Raw genomic sequence first — 16,657 nt, 5'->3', positions numbered from 1 at the left:
ATGCTTGTAATCCCAGCACTTTTGAGAAGCTGAGGCGGGCAGATTGCATGAGCTCAGAAGTTCTGGACCAGCCTGGGCAGCATGGCAGAACCCCATCTCTACAAAAATCAGCCACTAGTGGTGACGTGTTCCTGTAGTCTCAGCTGCTTAGGGGGCTGAGGTGGGAGGATGAATTGAGCCCGGGAGGTGGAGTTTGCAGTGAGCTGAGGTCATGCCACTGCACACCAGCCTGGGAAACAGAGCGAGCGATACCCTGTCTCAAATAAATAAATAATAGAAATCAATACCAAGATTGCTCAAAACCATACAGTTACATGGAAATTAACCAGCTCCTGAATGATTTATTGGTAAATAATGAAATTAAGGCAAAAATCAAGAAATTCTTTGAAACTAATGAAACCAAAGCTACAACATACCAGAATCTCTGGGAAATTCTGTGTTGAGAGGGAAATTTATGGTGCTAAACACCCACATCAAAAAATTAGATCTCGGCCAGTGCAGTGGCTCACACCTGTAATTCCAGCACTTTGGGAGGTTGAGGCAGGCGGATCACAAGGTCAGGAGTTTGAGACCAGCCTGGCCAACATGGTGAAACCCCATCTCTACTAAAAATATAAAAACTAGCTGAGTGCGGTGGCGTGCACCTGTAATCCCAGCTACTCAGGAGGCTGAGGCAGGAGAATTGCTTGAACCCAGGAGGCAGAGGTTGCAGTGAGCCGATATGCCACCACTGCACTCCAACCTGGGCGACAGAGTGAGATTCCATCTCAAAAAAAAGTTAGATCTCAAATTAACAACTTAACATCACACACAAGAGAAAAACCAACCCCAAAGCTAGCAGAAGACAAGAAATAACCAAACTCAGAGCTGAACTGAATGAAATTGAGACACACAAAAAAAACGTATAAAATATCATTGAAACCAGAAGTTGGTTCTTCGAAAGAATAAGATAGGTAGACCACTAGCTAAACTAATAAAGAAAAAAAGAGAAGATCCAAATAAACACAACCAGAAATGATAAATGTAATATTACCACCAACCCCACAGAAATACAAAAACCAGCCAGAAACTGTTATGAACACCTCTGTGCACACAAACTAGAAAACGTAGAAGAAATGGATAAATTCCTGGAAACAACGTCCCAAGACTAAACCAGGAAGAAATTCTAATTGTGAACAGACCAATAATGAGTTCTGAAATTGAATCAGTAATAAAAAGCTTACCAACAAGAAAAAGCCCAGGTTGAGATGGATTCACAATTGAATTCTACCTAACGCATAAAGAACAACTGGCGCCATTCCTACTAAAACTATTCCAGAAAATTGAGGAGGAGGGGCCGGGTGCAGTGGCTCACGCCTGTAATCCCAGCACTTTGGGAGGTCAAGGTGGGTAGATCACCTGAGATCAGGAGTTCGAGACCAGCCTGGCCAACATGGTGAAACCCCATCTCTGCTAAAAATACAAAAAAATTAGCTGGGCGTGGTGGCAGGTGCCTGTAATCCCAGCTACTTGGGAGGCTGAGGCAGGAGAATCACTTGAAACTGGGAGGCAGAGGTTGCAGTAAGCTGAGATCGCACCCATTGCATTCCAGCCTGGGCGACAAGAGTGATGAAACTCCATCTCAAAAATAAATAATAAATAAAAATAAAGAGGAAGAGGGACTTTTCCCTAACTCATTCTATGAGGCCAGCATCATCCTGATACCAAAACCTGGCAGAGATACAACAGAAAGGAAAACTTCAGGCCAATATCCTTGATGAACATAGATGCAAAAATCTTCAACCAATTACTAGCAGAGAAAATCCAACAGCACATCAAAAAGCTAATCCACCACAATCAGGCAGGCTTTATCCCTGGGTTGCAAGGTTAGTTCAGTATACACAAATCAATAAATGTGGTTCATCACATGAACAGAACTGAAAACAAAAATCACATGATCATCTCAACAGATGCAGAAAAGGCTTTCGATAAAATTCAGCATCACTTCATTTTAAAAACCCTGAACAAACTAGGCATTGAAGGAACATACCCCAAAATATTAAGAGCCATCTATGACAAGCTCACAGCCTGCAAAATCATACTGAACTGCAAAATCTGGAAGCATTTCTCTTGAGAACTGGAACAAGACAAGGATGCCTGCTCTCACCACTCCTATTCAATATAGTACTGGAAGTCCTAGCCAGAGCAGTCAGGCAAGGAAAAGAAAAGGCATTCAAATAGGAAGAAAGGCAGTCAAACTGTCTTTGTTTGCAGACAATATAATTTTATACCTAAAAAATGCTATAGTCTCTTCCCAAAAGCTCCCAGATCTGATAAAACAACTTCAGCAAATTTCTGGATATAAAATCAATGTATGAAAATCAGTACCATTTATACACACCAATAATGCCCAAGCTGAGTACCAAATCAAGAATGCAGTCTCATTTACAGTAGTCACAAAAAAGATAAAATAACTAGGAATATAGCTAACCATGGAGGTGAAAGATCTCTACACTGAGAATTACAAAACACTGCTCAAAGAAATCAGAGATGACACAAAGAAATGGAAAAACATTCCATGCTCATGGATAGAAAGAATCTATTGTTAAAATGGCCGTACTGCCCAAAGCAATTTACAAATTCAATGCTATTCCTATCAAACTACCAATGACATTCTAACAGAATTAGAAAAAATGTTTAAAATTCATATGGAAACCCGAAGAGCCAAGGCAATCCTAAGCAAAAAGAACAAAGCTGGAGGCATCACATTACCTGACTTCAAACTATACTACAGGGCTGTAGTAACCAAAACATCATGGTACTGGTACAAAAACAGAAGCATAGACCAATGAAACAGAATAGAGAGCCCAGAAATAAAGCTGCACACTTATAACCGTCTAATCTTCGACAAAGTTGACAAAAGCAATGGGGAAAGGACTCCCTATTCAATAAATGATGCTGGGATAAATGGCTAGCCATATGCAGAAGATTGAAACTGGACCCCTTCCTTATACCATATATAAAAATCAATTCAGACGGATTAAAGACTTAAATGCAAAACCTAAAACTAAAAAAAGTTGAAGAAAACCTAGGGAATACCATTCTAGACATATGCCCTGGCAAAGATTTCATGATGAAGACACCAAAAGCAATTGCAACAATGACCAAAAAAAAAAATGACAAATGGGACCTAATTTAACTGAAGAGCTTCTGCACACATTAGAACGATCAACAGCGTAAATAGACAACCCACAGAATGAGAGAAAATATTTGCAAACTATGAATCTGACAAAGGACCAATATCCAGAATCTGTAAGGAACCTAAACAAATTAACAAGCTAAAAGCAGGCCAGGTGCGGTGGCTCACGCTTATAATCCCAGCACTTTGGGAGGCCGAGGCGGGCGGATCATGAGGTCAGGAGATCAAGACCACGGTGAAACCGCGTCTCTACTAAAAATACAAAAAATTAGACGGGCGTGGTGGTGGGCGCCTGTAGTCCCAGCTACTCGGAGAGGCTGAGGCAGGAGAACGGCGTGAACCCGGGAGGCAGAGCTTGCAGTGAGCCAAGATCGCGCCACTGCACTCCAGCCTGGGTGACAGAGCGAGACTCCATCTCAAAAAAAAAAAAGAATAAAAACAACCCCATTAAAAAGTGGGCAAAGGACGTGAACAGATAGTTTCCAAAAGAAGACATACATGCGGCCAACAGACATGAAAAATGCTCATCATCACTTATTACAGAAATGCAAATCAAAAATTAACAAGCAAAAAACAACCCCATTAAAAAGTGGGCAAAGAACATGAACAGATAGTTTCCAGAAGAAGACATACATGTGGCCAACAGACAGGAAAAAATGCTCAACAACACTTATTATTACAGAAATGCAAATCAAGACCACAATGAGATGCCATGTCACACCAGGCAGAATGGCTGTTATTAAAAGGTCAAAAGATAACAGATGCTGGCAAGGCTGTGGAGAAAAAGGAACACTTAAATGCTGCTGGTAGGAGTGTAAATTAGTTCAGCCACTGTGGAAAGCCAGTTTGGTGATTTCTCAAAGAAGTTTGAACTACCAGTCAACCTAGCATTATTAGGTATATACCCAAAGGAATATAAATCATTCTGCTATAAAGACACATGCATGTGTGTTAATCATAGCACATAGTAGCAAAGACATGGAGTCACCCTAAATGCCCATCATCGGTAAACTGGATAAAGAAAATGTGGTACATAGACACCGTGGAATACTATGCACCCATAAAAAATGAGATCCTGTCCTTTGCAGGAAAATCATGGAACTGAAGACCATCTTAAGCAAACTAATGCAGGAACAGAAAACCAAATACTGCATGTTCTCACTTATAAGTGAGAACTAAACATTGAGTATACATGGACAGAAGAAGGGAACAATAGACACTAGGGCCAACTTGACTGTGAAGGGTGGGAAGAGGGTGAGGATTGGAAAAACTACCCATTGCGTACTATGCTTTTTTCCTGAGTGAGGGAATAATATGTACAGCAAACCGCCAAGGCATGCAATTTATCTATAGTACCAACCTGCACATGTAACCTTGAAACTAAAAGTTAAAAAGTTTTGTGAGAAGTGTGTGTGTGTGTGTGTGTGTGTGTGTGTGTGCTCACGCAATGATACATTGCATTTTTTTTTCTGTTTCTGTTTAAGGAATGTGCCTTTTCTCTTGATTTAGCACAGAGATTGGCATACTTTTTATATAAAGAGTCACATAATATCTGACTCAGGCTGTTAGACTTTTTGAAATATTTTAGGATTTGCTAGTCATATAATTTCTGTTGCATATTCTTGTTTTTTGTTTTGTTTTGTTTTATAACCCTTTAAAAATGTAAAGACCATTCTTAGCTTGAGGACTGTACAGAAACAGACCAGTGGTTGGATTTGACCTGCTGACCATAATTTACCAACCTCTTAAACCAGAGGAAGAAAAATGAACAGTGCTTTGATAGTACCTGTGTTTTCATTTTTTATAAAAAGCAGAAAAATAGCCATTTGGGTAATTAAACATTCTTATTTTTAACAAGTCATATTATCAGGTTGGTTTTTGAGAATAGCAGTTGATTTATTTTTTTTAATCTCCCAGAGGTCCAGTGCTTTGTGTGGTAATGAGCAGCAATGGTGAGCAGTGTTACAGTGGTGGTACTGATGGACTGATCCAGGGCTGGAATACCACTAATCCCAACATCGACCCCTATGATTCTTATGGTAGGTGATTTCCCAAAGATCTGAAGGAATAAAATTGGTTTTTTAAACACATTTTTTCATAGAATATAAAAGGAAGAGATAAAGAGATTTTTGAAAATAAATAGGTAAAGAGAACCACATCTTTATTTTGTTAAAAAGGACTTCTGTATTTAGGAATTAACTTGATATACAATGCTAAAAGAAGAAAAGAAGAACACATTCTTGAAAATACAGTTCCCACTTCTCTAAAGTCTTATTGATTGGAAATACAGGCTTGACTGACAGTTGTTTTCTTATTTTAGGCATCTGTAGAGTTCTTGATACATTATTACTAATCTGTAATAATATTTCATCATTATTCTTGTCAAACAACTTTTAAGGAAAATGAATGTTGGTGCCATCCCCTTGGTCAATTATTGGAGGGCTGTAGAAGCTAATAATTTTTAAAGCCCATGACACCAAAATATGTAAAAGGCCTCAGAAGTTAAGAAGTACCCTTTAGTTTTGGGAACAATACCATACATCATAAATCATATTATAATCTATCAATGGATATGACCACAGATTCATTTGTAAAAACTATTTAGGAATTGGGTATTTTGGTTTTCTGTTAAGTTCTAGAGTAGTTTGAAGTATCACATTTGTCATAAAAGCATTTTAATTTCATCATCATTTTAGATTAATTTTACCACCAAACCAGAGTAAGGATAAGAAATTCAATAAACAAAAATTTTTCCCAGCATTTATTTAACGAGCATTAATATGTTGTGAAAGGTAACCCCACTCTCCCCTAATTCTCTTATAAGTTATCTGTTCCATGTCTTTCCTTACTTCCTTTACCTCTCTGCCAGAGGATCAACTGTCCCTCATTCTGTCCTAGGCCAGTCCTTCCCATTTTGACTTTATTCATTTTAGTTTCTTTTGTGACTGTACTCGAATCTCTCTCTGTCTCTTTGCGACTGCATTCTAATCTCTTGCTCTTCTGCTCTTGTTCTCTTGCATCTTAATTAAGCCTTACCCTCCTTGCTCCCTTTCCATCCCCTCAGCAAATAAGTAAATTCGGGTATCTTCCATTCTGGTCAAGGAGAAGCCTTTTCTTGACCTTGTTTCCGTCTCTGCCTTCTGTTTAGTCCCTCTCTTTTCCTCATCATCTGTTTCTTTGATGGTATTGTCTAGAAAACACAATTACCAGTTACTAATTTCATGTTTTTTCTCTGTGCTTCATCTGTCTACATTCTGGCTTCTGGCTACAACACTTACATGTAACAAGATTGTCAGTAACTAATTGCCTGATCCAAGAATATTTTTAGTCTTTTATTTTACTGGATGTATTGGCTGTATCTGAGATTGTTAACAACTCCATCCTTTTTGAAATCTGTCCATTCTATTGGCTTTTTGACCCTTTGTGACAATTTCTGTTCCCTGTCCTTCATAAACTGCTTTTATTTTTCTTGCCTTAAATATTGACATTTATAAAGACCCAGACCCTAACTTTTTGCAGTGTACAAACATTCCTTGAGAGACTGAATCTACATCTGTACTTTTACATATAGTTGACTCATACATCTTTAAGCTTCAGATTGACTACAGGAATTTCAGGATGACTGTTTCATTGTCTGTAAATCCTAGCATTTTCTGTGTTTCTTCTCTCGTATATTCTTTTTTAGTTGGTGGCACTATGAGAATCACCCAAACTAGAAACCTAAGAATTACTTCAGATTCCCTGTTCTGTCACACTGTCCCCACTTACTAATTACCTAGTTTTTTGGTAATGACTCCCTAAATATTTCTTGAGTTTACTTTTTCTGCTCTGGCTGTCTCACTGCTTCCCCTGGCCTTAGGTCTTTGTCACTCTTTTTGTCTGCTGAAACAATCTCTTGCCTTTGTCTTGATTCTGTCTAATCTGTCTTCTGTACTACTACCAAGCTTACCTTATTAAATACATACTTGATCCTGCTGCCCCTGGAGACAGATTGCTTGTTGCTTTCAGGATAATTTCCAAGTTCCTTAATATGTAGTAGAAATCACACCATAAACTAGATGCCCTCATCCCATCTACTTCCTATTTCAAAGTCCACACTCCAGTAATACTGAATTGCTTATACATTTACTTGCATATCATGCTGTTTCTTTTTTCATGTGGTTTTGTAGGTGCTGCCTTCTTGTCAATCATGTTCTCCCCCTCTTCTTCAACTGGCTAACATCTGTAAATTCTAGGTTTCACTCTCCAAGTTCTCACTCATTCCAGTTACTCTCTGCTAACTGATGTCTGTCACAATTATTGTACTTTCAACATTGTCTGTTGAGGACTGGGATAGAATTGGGTATTAATCATGTATTTGGCTCCATCATTGAGCATAGTGCCTGACACACAGTGTGTCTTCAATATTTTATGGTATGTGTGACAGAGGATATAAGACATAACACCATTGACATTTCCAGACTTAACATTTGTGAGTCATCTTGAAAGTACCACTTCATAGAATCATTGTGAAGATTAATAAGGTTTCCAATTTGACTTTTATCATGAGACTGTGCTTAACCTCCCCACTTCCCTCCCTCTTCCCCTGCATACACTATCACTGCATCTCAGTTACTGCTGTTTGAGAATTTGGGGATTCCTGTAGATGTCACTTCCTGTCCATTATGAATGCCATATTTTCAGGAAAAACTGCCATCCATCATATAGTAAGATAAGTGAACAGAAGGAAGTATAGCCAAAGTGCTAAGGGACTTCAGAGAGGGAGAGGACCTCTCTGTTCACTTCCTCAGGGAGTGTGAGTTGTGGTTTCTCCAAAGATGAATTAAATTCAAATGATTTCGTATCAACGTGCTTTAAAAATATTTAGACAAATGGAAGGACAAAAGGAAGGGGGAGGAAATACTCAGTTTTTTTAAGGGGGAAAAATACGTGCTTTTAAATTTTAATTTAAAATTTTTTAACTTTATATTTGTATATTTCCAAGCTTGTTTTGATTTACTGTAGCCTGTCAGAAGAATAATAGAAACCAAGAATCATATTTTATACTGTTATCAGGTGCTATTGTTTATATATTTTACTTTCTCTGAAATCTAAGTACCTTTGTGGTTGTTTTTCTCCTGATTTTGCATTTTTACTGTTTTGTATAGATCCTTCTGTTTTACGAGGCCCTCTGCTAGGCCACACGGATGCAGTCTGGGGTTTGGCTTATAGTGCAGCACATCAGCGTTTGTTGTCCTGTTCAGCAGATGGCACTCTGCGTTTATGGAATACAACTGAGGTTGCTCCAGCACTAAGTGTATTTAATGATACTAAAGGTACATACTTTAAAAAATTATTTTGCTGAATCCTCTATAAAACAGTTTATTCTGAAAATAAGCAAGCAGATAAATGATTCCCTGAACTCTTTAAATTTAATTTGAAAGTTTTTGAAGCCACGAAAGTGTATTTGTTTGAATTTCCAACCTATATATAATTTTGTTTTGTTTTGTTTTGTTTTGTTTTGTTTTTTTTGAGACGGAGTATCACTCTGTTGCCCAGGCTGGAGTGCAGTGGCGCAATCTCGGCTCACTGCAACCTCCATCTCCCAGTTTCAAGCAATTCTCCTGCCTCAGCCTCCAGCACACACCACCACGCTCAGCTAATTTTTGTAGTTTTTTTAGTAGAGACAGGGTTTTGCTGTGTTGGCCAGGCTGGTCTGGAACTCCTGACCTCAAGTGATTCGCCTGCCTCAGCCTCCCGAAGTGCTGGGATTACAGGCATGAGCCACTGCACCCAGCCTATAATTTTTGAAAGCATAGTTTTTGGTGAAAGAACACACAGATTTTAGATTTTAAAAAATTAAGATATAATTTGTATGTAGTGAAAAACAGATATTAAGGATACATTTCAGTGAGTCTGATAGATGAGTACACCCATGTAACTCATACATCAATCAAGACATAGAATCCAGGTGTGGTGGCTCACACCTGTAATCCTAGCACTTTGGGAGGCTGAGGCAGGAGGATCACGAGAGGCCAGGAATTTGGGACCAGCTGGGCAACATAGCGAGGCCCTGTCTCTACATTTTCTTTAAAAAAAAAAAAGACTATATTTGCCCATTCTCGTACCACTATAAAGAAATACCTGAGACTGGGTAATTTGTTTAAAAAAAAAAAAGGTTTAATTGGTTGACGGTTCTGTACAGGAAGCATAGCAACTTTTCTTTGGCTTCTGGGGAGGCCTCAAGCAATTTACAATCATGGTGGAAGTCAAAGGGACAGGAGGCATGTTTTACATGGCCGGAGCAGGAGGAAGAAGGGGGTGGGACCTATTTTTAAACAACCAAATCTTGTGAGAACTCTATCACGAGAATAGCACCAAAGGGGAAAATCCACCCCATGATCCAATCACCTCCCGCCAGGCCGTATCTCCAATATTGGGGATTATGTTTGACATGAGACTTGAGTGAGGACACAGATCCAAACCGTATGAGAGATAGAACATTTCCTTTATCTCCCCAAAGTTCCTTCGTGTCTTTCCAAGTCAGTCCCCTCCTTTCCTTATTCCCAGCCAGAGGTACCCACTGTTGTGATTTCTTTCATCATAGATTAGTTTTATCTACTCAAACGTCATGTAAATGGAATAGTAAAGTATGTGTTCTTTGTATCTTGCTTTTATTCTTCATTATAATGTTTTGGAAATTCATTTGTGTTATATCAATTATTTCTTTCATTTTTATTTGATAGTATTTCATTAAGCCATAATTTGTCTATTCATTTATATCTTGATGGATATTTGGGTTGTCTCTAGTTTTTTGCTATTTTGAACAAGGCTGCTATGAACATTCATATATTTTCATTATAGGTGTGTAGAGACTTAGAATTGCTGGGCTTTCAGGTGGATGTTTATTTTACTTTATGTGAAGTCACTAAAAATTTTTCAAAAAAATTTTGTAGTTGTACCATTTTACACCTTTGACAGCAGTGTATGAGCATTCCAGTTGCTCTGCATCCTTACAAACATACAGTATTGTCAGTCTGTTTAACTTTAGCCATTCTGGTGGATGTGTAGTAGTATTTCATCATAGTTTATTTGCATTTCTTTGATGGCTAATTTTGATGAGCATTTCTTTTGTTTGCTTATTGGTTATTTGTGTATCTTCTTCTGCAGTATGCACATTTTTGAACTGTTACCTTGCTGTAGTTAGATTTTGAGCCAAATGAAAAAAATCAGATTATTATATTCACTTTATATGTTTCCTTCTATTTTTATGTTTATAAATAAGCTCTAAGTTTTCATGTATTCTAGATGGTAAATAAAAATACCTTCTGTATTCTTGAGCTATTATAACTTCTTTCCAGGCTTTGATGAGTTGTCTTCATATGGTATTTGCATGACTCTAACGATAAATAATAATTTTAAATTTTACTTTTTAATTTCTCTATTTTTGATGAGCTAACATCCCTAATAAGAGATGGGTTTTTTAAAATGAAGAATTCCCACTATGTCACTCTAAGCTTGAGGTTGGGCGGAAGCAGCAAAATTTGTAATTCATACATGTTTTCCATTTGCTCTCTAAATAAAGGCTTGCATTCCATGAATATATCAGTTGAGTAACAGGTAGAAGATCTGCTAAGCAGGTAAGGGAAATAAATAGACTAGGGCTAAAAGTTACAAAGAAATAATCTCCAATGAATAGTTATGAGCTAATTCTTATTCTAATGGTAAGCCTTGTTTACTTCTTAAGGAAACCATGCCATTTTTTGTTTTGCTCTATTTTAAGCAGATTGTCAAGTAGATGGTTTAATTGCCATTCTATTTCAATATGTTCTCTTTCAGAACTGGGAATCCCTGCCTCTGTGGATCTAGTGAGCAGTGACCCGAGCCATATGGTAGCATCATTCAGCAAGGGATATACAAGCATTTTTAACATGGAAACACAACAACGCATTCTCACTTTAGAATCCAATGTAGATACAAGTATGCATACCAATTTTAAATTGTCTGTGTTTATTTTTTTAACTTAATCAAAATTACGACTACTAGAGTCAGCTGTGAAAAATATTTGTCATTATAAAGCTTTCTGTCTCTTAACTTTCAGAACACAGTTACTTAGAAGGTTGTAATTATTTACCTTTTAAGAATTTGGGTTAAGTTTATGTACATTTATAACTATACTGTTTGAAATAGCATTTGAGCTGTTATGGGTCAAGTTTTATTTTATACTAAATGATTAATTTTCAATTCTATTTGAAGAAAGCCATATTTATTCTGAATAGGAAATTCTATTTTTCATTTCTCGTAATTTCATATTTTAAATCAACTTAATTTTATATTAATAGTATGATTTGGTACAGCTCAATACAGATCATGTTGTGGCACTCAGAATTCCAAACCTGAAGCTTCTTATTGGATGCAGGAAGTCAGGAAATAAGTGCTTTTTCAGGTTATGAAGAAGATATTACAGACTCTTTTTTGGTTTTTGGCTTTCTTAACCATTGCTTTCTGTCGTTAGCCATAATCTAGACAATCACAGTTTAGGTTGCAGTTGATGAAGAATACGACATACATATACTCTTGTTTTAATCTGAGAACTAGCTTTAAAAGTGATGATATGTTGTGTGTGTGCACATGCATGTGTGAACATGTACATGCATATGTTTACATATGTTCTTGTGGTGTTCTCACTCTCTGTCTCTCTCTCTCTCAAAAAGTTTCTTTATTCCTTTGTGGTTTTCATCATTTTCCCTTCCTAACCTGTTGTTCATTGTTTTCTTCTGATATGCTGAGACTTGTTTGGGGAAGTAAGCATGAATAGAACTTTGAGCTACTTGGATGTAAACGAGAGAGACAGGAAAATAAATTAAACTCAGGTGATAGAATTGGAAAAGGAGAATTTTTTTCAGCAAGAAATTACAGGTTTTAGACTCTCAATAAATTTAAAATCATGTTTAAATATATGACTCAAAGCTACAGTAGCAAAATAAAAAACTAATATGAAATTAGAAAGGATGAGAACATTTTTGTAATTACCTTCAGAGATTATATGGCCAATTTGTGAACATCCTGAGTGGAAATAGTGCTTTTTAATGACTGCAGGTTAATAAGATGTCAAGTCTGGTAGATAAGATGGATAAAGAGAACTAGGCGAGTGAATCCACATTTTCCCCCAAGAGATGTGACTCTAAATTAATAGGACTTTTTACTTGACACTGGAAACATTTTGAGAAAACTTCCAAGAATGTTTTTAACAAAGGCAACATTACTGGAATAAATGATCATTATTTTGAGTTGTAATATGTCCTGACATTTTCTAAATTATGTTTTTTACTTTTAAAGTTGTATAAAGAAAACTTAAATTAGTCTCTTATTATGTTTTACTGTGAACTACCCCTTGTTATTTATAATTGATTGTGTTGTTCTGTTTTGGAATTTAGCATATTTTTTTAAAAAAATGAAAGGACCAAACAAGCTTCAAGGAGAAAGTGAGTTTTATATAGAGTTTAAAGTGATGAAGGATGTTTGTTAGAATAGGAATAAATTACCCTTCTTCTCATTGATGTCAATGGCGATTTGACTGTGGTAAAGTCAAAGGTAGTTGAAGCAGATACGTCACAAGCTAGGTATGAGTAGTGTTCTTTGCATTCTGCCGACTTCTCTGATTTATCATCAAGTGGAGAAGCTTCCTTAAAAGTGTTACCAAATAAGAACTTTCTTTTGCCTGTTTCCATGATTTGATTTCAATCATATTTATTTTCTAGCTCTCAAAGCAATTGAGGCTATTCTCTGAAACGTCTCTCTCAGAATATATGGGATATTTCACTTAAAGTATTTCTTTTTTTGTTGTTACTGTTATTCTCTTGCTGGACTTTACCACGGGTGTTGCTCAATGGAGTATTATCTGTGGAGGAAATAATGCGTAGTCTGAATTTTATAAATAAACATCTCTTTGTTTAGGATCTAAACCAGGTGTAACTGACTAAGAACTTACTCCACATGGTCAAGTGAGTTTTTGTTTTATATTTATTTTTTTTTGAGACAGAGTCTCGCTCTGTTGCCCAGGCTGGAGTGCAGTGGTGCGATCTCAGCTTACTGCAACCTCCACCTCCTGGGCTCAAGCGATTCTCCTGCCTCAGCCTCCCAAGTAGCTGGGACCACAGGCGTGTGCCACCATATCTGGTTCATTTTTGTATTTTGCGTAGAGACAGAGTTTCACCATGTTGGCCAGGCTGGTCTCGAACTCCTGACCTCAAGTGATCCGCCTGCCTCGGCCTCCTAAAGTGCTGCGATTACAGGTGTGAGCTACCGTGCCCAGCCACATTTTATATTTAAATAACAGGCTGGGTAATTACCTGCCACTAGCATTGGGAAAAGACTGTCTTCAGTTTTTAAGATGTTATATTTCTAGGAGCCACATGAAAATCCTGTAAGATTAGACTATTTTTAGCTGTATTTTCTATTATGTGAATATAAACTTGTAATACCTATTCTAGGGTTCAAAAAATTTTTTAAACTCTATTTTGAAATAATTTTAAACTTGCAGAAAAGGTACAAAAATAGTACGAGAACTTCTGGCTACCCTTCACACATATTTAGCAGTTTTTAACATTTTGTCACATTTGCTTTTTCACTCTATATATGTGTATAATTTTTAATTCTGAACCATATGAGAGACGTCATGCTCCTATTCCCCTAGATCCTTTAGCGTGTAATTCTAAGATCAAGGGCATTCTCTGATGTAGTGTATTACAATGATCAAAATCCGGAAACTTAACATTGACACAATACTATTATCTGAATTACTATTTATATTCAAATTTTGAGAGTTGTTCCAGTAATATATTTTACAAGGACACCCCTTCCTCTCCCTGGACCATAATTTAATTTTTAAAACTTTGACATACCTTCAATTAGTGTTTTCTTTATGTCAGTTTTTCTTTTCTCTTAAAAAAAGCTTAACAGAAATCACTGAGGTTTTAAATTACTGATTTCTTTTTAATAAAAGCCTTTCAGGAAGAATGTGTGATCATTTAGGAACCAATTTTGACAGTTGTGTGATCTGCATGAACCATCAGGTTGGGAGAGAGTCAGAAGTTAGAATAGGTACTGATTTTGTCACCTGATTGTGGAGGAGTCACAACTTTTTCTGAACCTTGATGTGTTCACTGTAATATAGGCTTAATGATATGTGCTTGCCTGTCTCATTGTGTGTATAATTGAAGTTTCTTTGGAACTTACTAACACAAAAAATACAGTTAGGATGCTGACTTTTAGGATTCCAAACCTAGTTCTGTCAAATGACCATTTCTATTATGATGAGGAAGAGTGATAAAGGGATTTAAGGATTAAGAAGCCCTCTTTGTCATATATATCTTTAGATGATAATGATGTGATACAGAACTTTGTATGCAAAAAGAGCTGAGATTTAAATTTGAGAATTATCTCCATGTAAGTGATGATAGAACTTACTTAAAGTAGCAAAATCTCACAGAACATTGTAGAATGAACAGCGTTAGTGGCTCTAGACTAAGCCATAGATGGCACCCACATATAGCAGGAAATTGTAATTTATAAATATTTCCAGATTTATCAGGCAATTCTCTTTCCTAACATTGAAATTTTGAAAACAGTCACAGAATAAATGAACTAAAGACAAATAATGAAAGTCACATTATTACTTTTTCTTTTTCTTTTTTCTTTTCTTTTTTTGAAATGGAGTCTCGCTCTGACACCTAGGCTGGAATGCAGTGGCACGATCTCGGCTCACTGCAACTTCCATCTCCCGGGTTCAAGTGATTTTCCTGCCTCAGCCTCCTGAGTAGCTGGAACTACAGGCACGCACCACCACACTCGGCTAATTTTTGTATTTTTAATAGAGACAGGGTTTCACCATGTTGGCCAGGATGGTCTCGATCTCCTGACCTCGTGATCCACCCACCTTGGCCTCCCAACGTGCTTGGATTACAGGCGTGAGCCACCGCGGCCGGCCTACTTTTTCAGTCTCTTAGATAGATAATTCAGTTCTCCTTTGTGTGAAAAATATCTTTGACTAAGTTGTGTTGCTTTTTAATTTTTTCTTTTTAGCAGCCAACTCTTCCTGCCAAATAAATAGAGTCATCAGTCATCCTACTCTTCCGATCAGCATCACTGCTCATGAAGACAGGCACATCAAATTCTATGATAACAATACAGGTAAGAATTTATTAAGAATTGATTTTTATTAAAGCAAAAAAAAAAAATCCCTACCACAAGTAGGCTAATTTTGGTGTCTCTTGGTGGTTTCGTAGTCAGGGAATAGGCACTGAACCCCAAATACTCTCCCGTCTCAGTTTCTCTTCACTCTATCCAAATCTGCTAAGACTAGTCTTTATTATACAATACAGAATCATTTTGGTTTATTTAATAGTGAGCAGATGCTATATGTAGGCTTTAGAGCCAAGGTTATCACTAGGGACACCAGGAAAAGTTCACTCAAATACAAATAAAAATGATCTGTTGCTATGATCTATTGTAGTATTATATATTGGGGAAAAGTAGAAACATTGGAAATAGAGGCATATGGTCATTATATTTTGTTTAAAGTTGTTCAGTTATTGAATAGCATTATTCAATATTCAATTATTCCATTACCAAATAGCCTTTTTTAGTGTTGCGGATGGAAAACCTCCAGGTCATTGTATTCGTTTTTCCATAGACTAATCTTTTCTGTATTATAAAACTGACTGGTTGGTCCTCATTGATTTGAATTGTGCATGGAGATTTGCCCAAGTTTTATTTTATTACATTTCACCAGTATAAAGGAAATTTAGGAAGCACTGTGCTGGGAGGAAAGCACCCTATATTAGCTGCCATATTTACCTAAGTATCTGCCTTGTTAATATGTTGACTTCTGCTGACTTTGTTTAGCTGCTGGTGATGAATCATTTAATATTTAAAATTTTTTTCTGTATGTTGTATCCACCAAAATTGTGGCCATGTTTTCTTTCTGTCCCTTTTTCCTTGCCTCATTGTTTTCTCTCTGTGAATTTGAATTCTGTGTTTCCACAACTCATAATTTGCCAGTAGCTAAAGAATGCAAAGTAGGTGATTAATAATGTCTAAGTTCTAATTAACAAACGTGGCTTAAGGGTTGCGTGTAGAAATTACTGACTTCCATATCGTGGCTTAAAAGACAAAAGTGTAATCTAAAATTTGAGCTTTTTTTGGTTTTCCATATCATTGCCATGACTAGAGGCAAGAGGGAGACATGTTGTTTTAGGTGATGGAAAAAGCTATTAATACAGTAAGCACACAGAGAGGGATGACTGGAGAAACCAGCAGGACATGGTAGCTGGCAAATATTGAAGATGAGGAAAGGCATTAATAAGGAGTAACAATCTCTTTTTCCAAAGGCAAACTGATCCACTCGATGGTAGCCCACCTAGAAGCTGTTACAAGTTTAGCAGTTGATCCCAATGGCCTTTACTTGATGTCTGGCAGTAAGTACCTCAACTATGGATT

The 16,657-nt window shown here is 36.9% G+C and overlaps 1 protein-coding gene across 3 annotated transcripts in view; it reads left to right on the top strand.

Annotated features, from left to right (window-relative positions):
- The window catches only part of STRN (striatin), a 128,839-nt gene that overhangs the window by 100,188 nt on the left and 11,994 nt on the right, over positions 1-16,657 (top strand). For all 3 annotated transcript variants that reach the window (XM_005264519.6, NM_003162.4, XM_011533073.3), the window contains 5 exons: positions 5,096-5,217; positions 8,326-8,493; positions 10,997-11,137; positions 15,242-15,349; positions 16,549-16,635. In XM_005264519.6, the coding sequence (XP_005264576.1) occupies positions 5,096-5,217; positions 8,326-8,493; positions 10,997-11,137; positions 15,242-15,349; positions 16,549-16,635 (626 nt within the window). The remainder of the gene's footprint in view (positions 1-5,095; positions 5,218-8,325; positions 8,494-10,996; positions 11,138-15,241; positions 15,350-16,548; positions 16,636-16,657) is intronic.

The sequence above is a fragment of the Homo sapiens genome, chromosome 2, assembly GCF_000001405.40.
Source record: "Homo sapiens chromosome 2, GRCh38.p14 Primary Assembly".
In the NCBI taxonomy this organism is placed as follows: Eukaryota; Metazoa; Chordata; class Mammalia; order Primates; family Hominidae; genus Homo; species Homo sapiens.
This window is presented reverse-complemented; position numbering and strand designations above follow the sequence as displayed.